Source organism: Homo sapiens, chromosome 21 (assembly GCF_000001405.40).
Source record: "Homo sapiens chromosome 21, GRCh38.p14 Primary Assembly".
Classification (NCBI taxonomy): Eukaryota; Metazoa; Chordata; class Mammalia; order Primates; family Hominidae; genus Homo; species Homo sapiens.
The window spans coordinates 42584119-42597511 of record NC_000021.9 but is presented as its reverse complement, the minus strand read 5'-3'; the positions used below and the strand labels follow the sequence as shown (position 1 = coordinate 42597511).

The window sequence follows — 13393 nt, the reverse complement described above, 5'->3', positions numbered from 1 at the left end:
AAAAATGCGTTTGTTCGGCTTCTTACTGAAATTATGGAGAGAGACGATTGCAGGCCTCTCGAGGCGACAGAGCTTACATAGGAATGCCATACCCTTTGTCTGTTTTTCCCGAGCCATTGTGTCCACCTGACATGATTCACTTCGGTCCATTCAGACATTGTAATATTATCTTATATATAAAAAAAATGTATAAAAAATGTGGACAAAACCCCATATAGATGTATATACATATATGTATATGTATATATACATACATACACATATGGCTTAATATATGCATATATGTATGTATATACATATATATATATATGGGGTTTTGTCCACAGTTCCTGGCTTATAACTCCCACAGCCCTAACAAACAGAATCTCTCTCCCTGATCTTCTTCTGCCCTCTTTTCACCTGCCTTGGGCAGGTGGAACCCTAATCTGCTTGTGGGTCATAAGCCCCTCATTCCAGAGGGGGTCCTACCCCACACCCTGGAGGAGGGAATGCTGCCCAGAAAAGCCAAGAAGAATGTGGCCAGACAGCCTCGCCGGGTTTAGACCATATCCTTTTGGGCCAATCATATTTCTACATGGTTGTCAATCATGCCCACCCCATGCATCTCCATGAAAGGCCCAAGAGGAAAGGGCTCTTCAGGATGGCTGAACACTGACCACACAGAGGCTCCTGGAGGGTGGCCCCTGGGGAGGGCATGGAAGCTCTGCACCCTTTCCCCCATACTTTGCCCTATGTGTTTCTTCATCTGTATCTTTTGCAATGTCTTTTATAACAAACTGGTAAACATAAGTGTTTTCCTGAGTTGTATGAGCTGCTCCAGCAAATTAATTGAACCCAGAGATGGGGTTGTGGGAACCCTGATTTATAGCCAGTTGGTCAGAAGTTCCAGAGGCACAGGCTTGCAACTGGTGTCTGAGGTGGGAGGGGGCAGTCTTGGGGACGGAGCCCCCATCCTATGGAATACAAGCTCTCTCCAGGTAGAGTGTCAGGATGGAATTACAGGACACCCAGACGGTGTCTGCTGTAGTGCTGACTGCTTGCTTGCTGGTGGGGAGAAATCTCCACATATTTTGGGGTCACAGAAGTCTTCTGTGCTGATTGTTGTAGTTGTGTGAGAGCAGAGAAAAAAAGATTTGAGTTTTCTCTTAAGAGATGTGGTGGAAGTGGACATGAGGCCATGGCTTGATTTCCCTCTTGAAGACGTTGAGCTTTTGTGGCAGCTGTTGCTTCAGGCATCTTTCCATTTTACCATTTTGCTGTTGGTATTTGAGGAGCTTCTGTTTAGTCCTGCACGTTCCTGAATTGAACTCTCCGTTCCCTTTCATCCTGGCTTACAAACCACATAATTACTTTCTGAGTGCATCATTTCCTTATAATATCTTTCTAAAGCAATCCAAAGGCAAGCAACACCCATTACTACTAACATCGTTTCCAGGCCCCTCCTCTGGAGCTGCGATTTTGTTAGGTGTGAGGTCGGCTTCCCACAGCGTCACAGGCACAGTGCTGTAAATGAGCCACCTCTGCCCACTGAGCACCACCCCGGCCTCCCCGTGGCCGTCCTGTCACATTGGTTACCCAGTTACTGGGGGGCTACTGGGCTGGGGGACTCTGCCTCACACTGCCACGCCTGGACCAGGCTCACTGAGCAGCCGACGTGTCGGATGTTGCCAGTCCCCATGGCCAAGGGGAAATGGCTCTGCCACATGACCCATGCCCAGCCCAGAAGGTTCACGTGTCAAAATGTTGGCCAACATGGTAGGAGGCTGGGAGCGGAATTGCTGCAGGAGCCTAGAAGGGGCAAGAATTGGAAATACTTGGCAGAAAGCATTAGTGACTTTTACAGAGGACTACAGAGATGGGGCATTCTTAGAGGGGACAGGCCTGCTTGATCCATGCCCCAGGGTGAGGGAGACTGAGCCCCACAGCATGGGCCTGCAAGGTGGTCTGGAGGGCAGACACCGTCTCTCAGTCCTGCCCTGCCCCACTCCGCTGCACAGGGTGGTGTCTGGATGGTGGCAACTCTCAGCTTACGGGTTGCATGCAGCAAGCCTTGGCGTGGACGCGGTCACAGACCTGAGAGGCCGCAGCATTCCCTCCAGCACCCCGCTCCAAGGATCCCAATTCAGGCGGGAGTCCTGGATTTTGGCTCCAGCGTAGTTTGGGAGCCCTGGACGTGCTCAGCCCAGCCTGCTTCCCACGCTGAGCTTGCAAATGGCTGGGGAGGCTTTGGAAGAGAGCCGGGTCTTTCCTGCAGGGTGACAGCAGTGCCATCAACTTGCCGCCCAGTTGAAGGCCCTCCAGGAGTTCCCTATCCTGATTGAACCCACCCCAGCTCCTGTGAGTCACTGGCACTTGGGTGGTTTTCTTGCCTTTCATATAATTTGGAGGCATGTATTTCTCGTTTCCTCGGCAGTCTGGAGACATTTTTTTTTCATTTCGTACTGCAGTTTCTAAAAATAACGTTAGTGGTAACTTCAATTTCTTACTCATTTCTCTCCTCCTTCAGTAGGAGGCGAGGGGATTTAGAGTCCTGCTGCTGAGGGGATGCCAGGGGACAGAGCACCCGTGGCTTGTTCCTCTCACAAGGGTCCACCCTCCTGCCTCATCCCGGTGGCATGTGTGTGATCACCTGGGGACAGTCCAGGCAGGGCTCGTTCCCTCCTGCAATGCCACCAGGCACAACCAGCATCCCCAGAGGGCTCTGATAGGACCCTGATCCTGAGGGCTGCGCTGTGCCAAGTCACGTGGCCTGTCGGGTCGTCAGTGGCTTCGTTCGTCTGGAAAGTGGAGAACCCTGGTGATCTTCATCCATAGAACAGGAGGCTGGACAAATGGCTGTGTAACACGGCAGCATTGTTTGGGTGCAATGGTATGATCCAATAATTTGCTTAAAAATACGTAATAAGGCTGGGCATGGTGGCTCACGCCTGTAATCCCAGCACTTCGGGAGGCTGAGGCAGGCAGATTACTTGAGTCCAGGAGTTTGAGACCAGCCTGGCCAACATTGTGAAGCCAACATCATGAAACCCCATCTCTACAAAAATACAAAAATTAGCCAGACATGGCGGTGTGAGCCTGTAGTCCCAGCTGCTCGGGAGGCTGAGGCAGGAGAATCGCTTGAACCTGGGAGGCAGAGGTTGCAGTGAGCCGAGATGGCGCCACTGCACTCCAGCCTGGGTAACAGAGTGAGACACCAGCTCAAAAAAAAAAAAAAAAAAAAAAAAGCAAACCATATGAGATAAAATGAAGGCTTACATGGTAGATTTGAAGCAGGAAAGGCAGGCTGTTGACAACTGTCAAGGCTGAGGGATGGGATATGGTGCATATTAAGCTGTCTATTTTTATGTACCCATGAGAATTCCCATAGTAAGAAAATGTGAAAAGAAAATCATAAAACGAAATCACAAGCAAGGCTGGTTTGTTGCAGCCTTTTTTGGGTTGGATTTGGGTGAGTCTAGGCTTCCCAGCAAGCTCGAGGAAAGGACAAAGGTCGGGCTTGTGGCCTGGGTCCCGGCCCTGAGCGTGGAGTCGAGTGAGGCTTGGCTCCCACCCCTGAGCCGTGGACCTGGTACCTGGGTCCTGACCCTGGTCAGCCACAGCATGGCTTTGGGAGCTGAAGCAGGTCACCCTGTGAGGCTGTTTCTCCACTTTTTACTAAAAGGCGGGGACAGCGAGGCCTCAGAAGGAGCCCTGGGAGGAGGGGGTGGCGGATGGGTGGGGAGTGGGTGCCCCACGAATATCCTCTTGCCCCCATCCTCCCTCCTCGGCCAGCCCCTGTCCCCGGAGCCCCCACTCCTGCCCTCCCCTTCTATCCTAAAGCCCAGGCTGGCTCTGGATACATTTGATTTCTGATTTGTCATTAAATGTGACAAGCGAAGCCAGAGGACCCTCTGACACCCAGGACTGAGTGCAGCCCCAGGAGGGGCTTGCCGGGGTGTGGTGGAGGGGGCAGTGTGGCCCAGCTGGGGCGGGGGTGGGGCCAGGGCCGGGGTCTCCCGATCTCTGGATATTTGAGCTGCGGACCGGACAGGATACGCTCCTCCACGGGGAGGGCCTCAGTGAGCCGGGGCTGGGGGGCCCTCTTGTGGCAACAGAGGGCCTGGGTTCTAGGTAACAAAGCAAAATCAAAATCTGGGAGCGGCCTTTCGGGAGCCCAGGCAGACGCAGCTCACCGGTCCCCTGAGGCCACCAGCCCAGCAGGCTGCAGGGAGCCTGGATCTGCAGGCGGTGGCCGAGGCCATGGTACAGCCCACCCAGCGTTCACCCTGCGGTCCGTGGCGATGGCCGAGGTCCTGGAGTACTGATGAGAGGTGCCCTCCCAGGTGCCAAAAGGAGCTTCTGCAGACACAGTTCCGCGTGCAGGGCTCCCGGCAATCGAAGTGCAGGGCCGGCCTGGGCCAGAGCACAGGTGAGTGCAGACATAGGCTGCCTTTACAAAAGGCACAGAGCCGTGGCCGGAACCCCTGGGTCTGGTCTCCACGGCTGCTTTTGGGGCCTTAGTTTCCTTATCTGTCACATGGCCTCTGAAGCTGCTGTCAGCTCTAAATTGTGATTATTGGACCAAAGTTGAACCTGTTACTCTTCTCTGAGAAGTGGCTTTCCCTCTGGTCCTCCCATTTCTGACTCTTCTCACTTACTGCAATTTTCCAACGGCACCTCCCTCCAACCCCTTCAGTCCCCATTGTGAGAGTCACGTCCTAGGGCTCATCATTGGCCATGCCCGCCGGTCTCCAGAACCTCCGCTCCCAGGACCTCACCCACCTCCCATCTGTCCAGATCAGCCCCCAGCAAGCTTTCCGGCCACTGGGACCACTCATTCCCCACTCGCTCCATCATCCACCTCTTCACCAGCCTGAGACCAGGCTTGGGTTTCCTGGGGCACCAGCCTCGCCTCTCCTTTCACGCTCCTGTCCCTTGTCCCTCCAGCCTTAGTGGTATGGAAAACCCTGATCCTGGTGAAATTGGTGAAATCAGTGACCCTCTGTGGCCTGTGCTCCTGAACTTCCTTCCTGGACCTCCTCTAGGGTCTGGAATGGCCTTTCCTTAGATCTGCAGGGTTCATTCCATCACACCCTTATCCCATCCTCGAAGACGACCGTCAATACACAATCATACACCCCCCGCTCCTGCCCCAGACTGTTTACTGTTCCTTTGTTAGTCGTCTATTGCTTCCCCTAGACTCGACTCCATGGGGCCGATTTGGCTCTCCCGGTTTATTACCGTATCCCTGCGCTTATTCTCAGGGCTTGGCAATACGAGTGTGCTGAATGAATGAACAAGCAAATGAATGCTGCTCTTCTACCATCAGGTTTGGAATCATGGCTCTGGATTTGGGTAAATTTTACAACACCAGGCACCCAAGAGGTGTCTTCATGGGGCTGGCTGCAGAGTGGGCCGTTCTGAAGGCAGAGCTTCTAGAGCTGGTGACCTTGCTGTCCCTAAGGCTGTGGTAGGATGCGGGGCTCACACAGAGTGGCTGCAGCAACTCTTGGGAAAATGTGTTAAAAATACAACTGTCCCAGGAAGAAACAGCCTTGGAATAGAGTGTTTACATTCTTTTTGGTACTCGCCTTGACTTTTAAAATGAACTTAATTACTTCTGATTTTAAAGATAAGGCAGGTCCCTGTAAAACAGGTAGACAATGCAGAAAGACGATGCATCCTCCAGGTTCAGCCAGAGGAACAGAACCAGTTGGAGATCACACGCACACGTGCACACACACGCACACACACATGCACACACATGCATGCACACACACGCACACGTGCACACACATGCACGCACACACACGCACACACACGCACACGTGCACACACATGCACACACATGCACATGTGCATGCACACATGGATGCACACACGGACACATGCATGCATACACACATGCACACTCATGCACGGACACACACATGGACACACACATGCACACACACACACATGCACATGTGCACACACAGATTCACTTCAAGGAACTGGCTTATGTAACTGTGGGGGCTGGCTAGGCAAGTCTGAAATCCAGGGCAGGTGTCAGGCTGGAAACTCTCAGGCCAGAGCTGAGGCTGAGTCCACGGGTGGGATTTCTCCTTCCTCGGGGAAGCCTCAGTTTTGCTCTCAAACCCTTCAACTGACTGAACCAGGCCCACCCAAGTTATGGAGGATAAATCTCCTTTAGTTAAAGTTGATGGATTGGCGATGTTAAGCACATTTATAAAATGCCTTCACGACAACATCCTAAGTAGTGTTCACTTGAATAACTGGGTCCTAAGGCCTGGTCAAGAGGGCGCAGAAAACTAACCCTCACAGACATGAACGGAGCTCAGAAGGTACTGACACAAATTAGTTAGAAAGAGACAAACGGCCCAGTAGGACAGTGGGCAAAGGCTGTAAAGAGGAGAGGCGCGGCTGAGGGGATCCACATGGCCCACCAGGTAAAGTCAGTTAAAACCCCCGGGGCCAGAATGCCGTTTCCTCATAAGGGCTGTTTCCGGAGTGCTGGTGACATTTGATTTCCTGCCCGGGAGAGCGCTTGCATGGGTGTGCAGTCACAGCTAGTTATTAAACTGTGCGTAAAGGCTCTCGGGGCCCTGGGGGCAGGCTCTGGGTTCTCAGTAAGCGAGTAGGGGGACCACAAGCTGGCACTGGATCCTCGGGGTCTGACCACAACAGGCTGTGGGGGCGTCCTGCAGCCTCATCCTCCTGAGCAGGATTCCTGCCTCTCAGGTGTCCACCAAAGTACCCTGCGCTTGTGACACGGCGCCCTCAGGTCACACTGGTGATTGCTGCTGCTGCCCCAACCCGCTAGCCAGGCCAGAGACACCTTTGGCAAGGCACGGCTGGGCCAGGATAATCGGCAAGTTTCAGGCCATAAGCTTATTTTGCCCAAAAGCAGTCAAATTAGTCTAAGGCAGTCCCTCTGAATTCCAGGGAATCCCTGCACACTCTCACACACGTGTGAATGCCTCAGAGCCCTCGGGGAGCCATTTGGTGCTATCAGGAAGTCATCAATAAAATACCTGAAGAGAAGACAAGGAGAAAGGATGACTAGGCCAAAGCTAGTGAGGCCTCTGGATTGAAAAGGCAAGAGGAAAACGCAGGCATAGATATAAACAGGGTGGCAGGCCCAGTGCAGGTAAGGGGAAACGCATGCGTGGATGTAAACGGGGCGGCAGGCCCGGTGCAGGTAAGGGGAAACGCCTGCGTGGATATAAACGGGGCGGGAGGCTCGGTGCAGGTAAGGGGAAACGCCTGCGTGGATATAAACGGGAATGGAGGCTCGGTGCAGGTAAGGGGAAACGCCTGCGTGGATATAAACGGGAATGGAGGCTCGGTGCAGGTAAGGGGAAACGCCTGCGTGGATATAAACGGGAATGGAGGCTCGGTGCAGGTAAGGGGAAACGCCTGCGTGGATGTAAACGGGGCGGGAGGCTCGGTGCAGGTAAGGGGAAACGCCTGCGTGGATATAAACGGGAATGGAGGCTCGGTGCAGGTAAGGGGAAACGCCTGCGTGGATGTAAACGGGGCGGGAGGCTCGGTGCAGGTAAGGGGAAACGCCTGCGTGGATATAAACGGGAATGGAGGCTCGGTGCAGGTAAGGGGAAACGCCTGCGTGGATGTAAACGGGGCGGGAGGCTCGGTGCAGGTAAGGGGAAACGCCTGCGTGGATATAAACGGGAATGGAGGCTCGGTGCAGGTAAGGGGAAACGCCTGCGTGGATATAAACGGGAATGGAGGCTCGGTGCAGGTAAGGGGAAACGCCTGCGTGGATATAAACGGGAATGGAGGCTCGGTGCAGGTAAGGGGAAACGCCTGCGTGGATGTAAACGGGGCGGGAGGCTCGGTGCAGGTAAGGGGAAACGCCTGCGTGGATATAAACGGGAATGGAGGCTCGGTGCAGGTAAGGGGAAACGCCTGCGTGGATGTAAACGGGGCGGGAGGCTCGGTGCAGGTAAGGGGAAACGCCTGCGTGGATATAAACGGGAATGGAGGCTCGGTGCAGGTAAGGGGAAACGCCTGCGTGGATGTAAACGGGGCGGGAGGCTCGGTGCAGGTAAGGGGAAACGCCTGCGTGGATATAAACGGGAATGGAGGCTCGGTGCAGGTAAGGGGAAACGCCTGCGTGGATATAAACGGGAATGGAGGCTCGGTGCAGGTAAGGGGAAACGCCTGCGTGGATGTAAACGGGGCGGCAGGCCCGGTGCAGGTAAGGGGAAACGCCTGCGTGGATATAAACGGGAATGGAGGCTCGGTGCAGGTAAGGGGAAACGCCTGCGTGGATGTAAACGGGGCGGGAGGCTCGGTGCAGGTAAGGGGAAACGCCTGCGTGGATATAAACGGGAATGGAGGCTCGGTGCAGGTAAGGGGAAACGCCTGCGTGGATGTAAACGGGGCGGGAGGCTCGGTGCAGGTAAGGGGAAACGCCTGCGTGGATATAAACGGGAATGGAGGCTCGGTGCAGGTAAGGGGAAACGCCTGCGTGGATATAAACGGGAATGGAGGCTCGGTGCAGGTAAGGGGAAACGCCTGCGTGGATGTAAACGGGGCGGCAGGCTCGGTGCAGGTAAGGGGCAACGCCTGCGTGGATGTAAACGGGGCGGCAGGCTCGGTGCAGGTAAGGGGAAACGCCTGCGTGGATATAAACGGGAATGGAGGCTCGGTGCAGGTAAGGGGAAACGCCTGCGTGGATGTAAACGGGGCGGGAGGCTCGGTGCAGGTAAGGGGAAACGCCTGCGTGGATGTAAACGGGGCGGGAGGCTCGGTGCAGGTAAGGGGAAACGCCTGCGTGGATGTAAACGGGGCGGGAGGCTCGGTGCAGGTAAGGGGAAACGCCTGCGTGGATGTAAACCGGGCGGGAGGCTCGGTGCAGGTAAGGGGAAACGCCTGCGTGGATGTAAACGGGGCGGGAGGCTCGGTGCAGGTAAGGGGAAACGCCTGCGTGGATGTAAACGGGGCGGGAGGCTCGGTGCAGGTAAGGGGAAACGCCTGCATGGATATAAACGGGAATGGAGGCTCGGTGCAGGTAAGGGGAAACGCCTGCGTGGATGTAAACGGGAATGGAGGCTCGGTGCAGGTAAGGGGAAACGCCTGCGTGGATGTAAACGGGGCGGGAGGCTCGGTGCAGGTAAGGGGAAACGCCTGCGTGGATGTAAACGGGAATGGAGGCTCGGTGCAGGTAAGGGGAAACGCCTGCGTGGATATAAACGGGGCGGGAGGCTCGGTGCAGGTAAGGGGAAACGCCTGCGTGGATGTAAACGGGGCGGCAGGCTCGGTGCAGGTAAGGGGAAACGCCTGCGTGGATGTAAACGGGGCGGGAGGCTCGGTGCAGGTAAGGGGAAACGCCTGCGTGGATGTAAACGGGAATGGAGGCTCGGTGCAGGTAAGGGGAAACGCCTGCGTGGATATAAACGGGGCGGGAGGCTCGGTGCAGGTAAGGGGAAACGCCTGCGTGGATGTAAACGGGGCGGCAGGCTCGGTGCAGGTAAGGGGAAACGCCTGCGTGGATGTAAACGGGGCGGCAGGCTCGGTGCAGGTAAGGGGAAACGCCTGCGTGGATGTAAACGGGGCGGGAGGCTCGGTGCAGGTAAGGGGAAACGCCTGCGTGGATGTAAACGGGGCGGGAGGCTCGGTGCAGGTAAGGGGAAACGCCTGCGTGGATGTAAACGGGGCGGGAGGCTCGGTGTAGGTAAGGGGAAACGCCTGCGTGGATGTAAACGGGGCGGGAGGCTCGGTGCAGGTAAGGGGAAACGCCTGCGTGGATGTAAACGGGGCGGGAGGCTCGGTGCAGGTAAGGGGAAACGCCTGCGTGGATGTAAACGGGGCGGGAGGCTCGGTGCAGGTAAGGGGAAACGCCTGCGTGGATGTAAACGGGGCGGGAGGCTCGGTGCAGGTAAGGGGAAACGCCTGCGTGGATGTAAACGGGGCGGGAGGCTCGGTGCAGGTAAGGGGAAACGCCTGCGTGGATATAAACGGGAATGGAGGCTCGGTGCAGGTAAGGGGAAACGCCTGCGTGGATGTAAACGGGGCGGGAGGCTCGGTGCAGGTAAGGGGAAACGCATGCGTGGATATAAATGGCGCGGCAGGCTTGATGTTGGTACTCGCTTCTCAGTTCTGTCCTGTGGCTACTCGGCCCTGACACTGGTCAACGCGGCGAGCTTGGCACTTCTTTTCCCCGCTGCTTCTCCTCAGGTGCTGACTGCAAGGGGCAGAATGAGTAAGGTCTTTCCCACGGGGTTCCCTTCCCTTCCCTTCCCGCGTCTCGGGCCTATTTCCCGGAAAGCTATTATTCCCCCCGCTGACTAAGTGGTGCCGAAAGCGTCTGAGGGACTCCAAACTCCTCTTCAGGCTTATCGTGAGCTGGTGTAGACAGAGGTGTTTCCATGCTTTAACCCAACCCTTCTACTCATGTAACTTTCCCAGCAGCTCCAAGGGCAGCCAAGGCCCCAGCTAAGGTTTTTGTTCTTACCAGAAGTAAATACAAAGAAATGTTGGTAACTTGCTGAGATACAGAAAGTGTGATGAGAGTCAGATATGCTGCATCCTGCTGCCCCAGGAGGCTGGGGTGACTCCTTCCCGTCTGCGGACATGTGGGGACACACCATGAGAGCCTCAAGGCTTCGCTGCCAATAGCAGGTGGACGATCAAGGGGTCGTGGGGACGTGGAAGAAGAAAGCCTTATTGAAAGCTGGTGCAAAAGGGAAAGAGAGGCCAAAGCAGCCCCAACCATGGCCTGCCTGCCGGGGGCCCCTGCTGTGGCCTGGTGGCTTCCGACCGTGGCCTGCCTGCCGGGGCCCCTCCTGTGGCCTGGTGGCTTCCGGACCGTGGCCTGCCTGCCAGGGCCCCTGCTGTGGCCTGGTGGCTTCTGGACCGTGGCCTGTCTGCCGGGGCCCCTGCTGTGGCCTGGTGGCTTCTGGACCGTGGCCTGCCTGCCGGGGCCCCTGCTGTGGTCTGGTGGCTTCCGACGGTGGCCTGCCGGCTTCCGACGGTGGCCTGCCTGCCGGGGCCCCTGCTGTGGCCTGGTGGCTTCTGGACGTGACAGCCCAGCCATGGTCCTGCTGGACATTTGTTTCCTGGGAGAATTCTTGGAGGCCTGGTCTCTGGTCCGTAAGGACGCATAATTCTCAAGCCATGTTTCCACTGGAGATGCTAATTTTGAGTATAGGCTCCTTCCCTGTGTTTCTTTAATGAATCAGTGGCTTAGCATGGAAGGAGAAGTGGGGTCTATTTTTCACCTTGCTCCAGAATTTTAGTGCTCACAGCCACCCTGGACCCAATCTCCTTGAAAACTCTCATTTTAAATGGGAGGGGAAGGGGAGCTATCGCTTACCAGGTTCTAGTGATCTTCTGGGGTGATGAGACGTGTTGACCTTGAGAGAGCTGGTGGCTGCACAGCACTGTGAATGCGCCAGACGCCACCGACCGTATGCTTTGAAATGATTATTTGCATGTTATGTAAATGTCACCTCAGTTCCAAAAAAAAAAAAAAAATAATAATAATAGCCCTTGAGACCCGGAGAGGCTGCCCCTCCAGAGCCACTAGCTCCTCCTTTTGGGCTCCAGGATGTCTGGGTGTGGCTGTCACTTCGTCGTGGGGTGCAGGGACTCCTTAAACGCACCTGCCATTTTTCTGCATCTCCACTCCAAGTTCCTTTTAGAGGCAGGCAGGGTGTGGATTTTAACAGTAACAGAATGTCCAATGCCTGCCTCATTTTAGAATTTCAAAGAGAGACAGAACCGTCTTGGTTATTACCAAGTCAAGGAAGAAGGGAATGGAATATTCTGGATCAAGATGCCTTCAAAGTCCGTGTTCACTGTTGGCCCAAATGACACATGACATCCACTCACCGATCCTGTTTTGGTCAAAAATTGGCCTGGCTGGTTGGGCTTGGTGGCTGACGCCTGTAATCCCAGCACTTTGGGAGGTCGAGGTGGTCGGATCATGAGATCAGGAGTTTGAGACCAGCCTGGCCAACATGGTGAAACCCTGTCTCTACTAAAAATACAAAAATTAGCTGGGCGTGGTGGCTCGTGCCTGTAATCCCAGCCACTTGGGAGGCTGAGGGATGAGAACTGCTTGAACCCAGGAGGCAGAGGTTGCAGTGAGCTGAGATGGCGCCACTTCACTCCAGCCTGGTGACAGAGCGAGACTCCGTCTCAAAAAAAAAAAAAAAAAAAAGTGGCTGTGGGCGTAAAAATCACAGGATGCCCAAACTTCTTATGCCAAAGGGAAGATTAAGCCTGGAGTGAGAATCATGCAACGCTGCATCCGTATGGACAGCTGTCATGAATAGGATACATCAGCCAGGTCCCCACAGAAAGGTGGAGGCCACAGCCGTCTGCAAGTGCTCCCACAGATCTTTCATCAGTACATTCTTTGCTGGCCTCCCATAAACAAGGACATGCCAATCATAAATTTAGGTGTGCAATGTAAGTCCAGCTCCTAAAATGAGAGTCTGTTCCATTCTATGCTGATAATGTCCTTTACAAGCTTGTCCTCCCAGGGGCAGGCCAAAGACAAGACGAGATCAAGTGTTCCTCCACCTACCCAGAGAAGTCTGCAAAATGGATTCCTCCTTTGCTCCCTTTTCTTCTTCAAATATTTACCTTATGTGAAATGCAGATTTACTGGGTGCTAACTGAAGTCTCACAAGAATGTCACCATTCACCTCACCTCAATGTCTAAATACCAAACCTCTTGTAAGCCTCTTTAGAAAAACAGCCACAGATGTGTCTGTGGCTTGTGTTTTCCTGGACATGCCCTAACGCTGGCAGAATAAACCTCGGTTGATTGAGATATTTACCTCAATTGCTTCTTTCAGTTACCAGACCTGACCATTGTTAAGCGTGTCCCAGAGGATGTTGGGGACCAATTCCAAGGATCAAGAAATTCTCAACTGGCAAGGGCTCCCCTGCCTTCCACCCTCCCCCCACTGTCCTTCCCAGCAGTCCAGGGTGCTGCCCACCCCGACTGTCTCCGACGATGGCGCACGCCCCTGCCCTTGCCCTCCGTGGACTTTCTCAGCCGCCTGGGACGTGCCCTGCTGTGCCCCTGCATCCCACTTGCTGCCCAGGGCGATGCTTCATGGTGACCTGCGACTGGCTCAGCAATGATGGACTCTCCTGGGAGGGTGAGGCCCTGGGTGCCAGAAACACTGCCTGTGTTCAGCAGCTGGAGTTAAATTCCAGCTCCCAAGGGGTGTGGCGGGGAACATGCTGCACTTGGCCACCACTACGGGTGGCCCAGACCCCACATTATCCCCATGTCTGGAGCTCACAGGCCCCCTTGGAGGGGGCCAGCAACAAGAGCTGGCTTCAGAATGAGCAAGCAGCTCAGGACTGCGTTCTTCAGAGTCCCTTGGATCTGTTCTCAGGGGCAGGGCACGTTGGAACGCACGGGACA

At 55.0% G+C, this 13393-nt stretch overlaps 3 annotated features.

Annotated features, from left to right (window-relative positions):
- Positions 3300–6750: an enhancer, noted in NCBI's record as "VISTA enhancer hs2248". NCBI's record gives its function as "enhancer in: neural tube[5/14] | limb[8/14]" and the evidence as "EXISTENCE:transgenic organism evidence [ECO:0001131][PMID:17130149]".
- Positions 5312–6259: an enhancer, noted in NCBI's record as "H3K4me1 hESC enhancer chr21:44011363-44012310 (GRCh37/hg19 assembly coordinates)". NCBI's record gives its function as "activates a minimal SCP1, AML or CMV promoter by ChIP-STARR-seq in naive H9 embryonic stem cells {active_cell/tissue: H9 hESC(naive)}" and the evidence as "EXISTENCE:reporter gene assay evidence [ECO:0000049][PMID:30033119]".
- Positions 10823–10872: a silencer, noted in NCBI's record as "silent region_13349". NCBI's record gives its function as "represses an Ori minimal core promoter by ATAC-STARR-seq in GM12878 lymphoblastoid cells {active_cell/tissue: GM12878}" and the evidence as "EXISTENCE:reporter gene assay evidence [ECO:0000049][PMID:35858748]".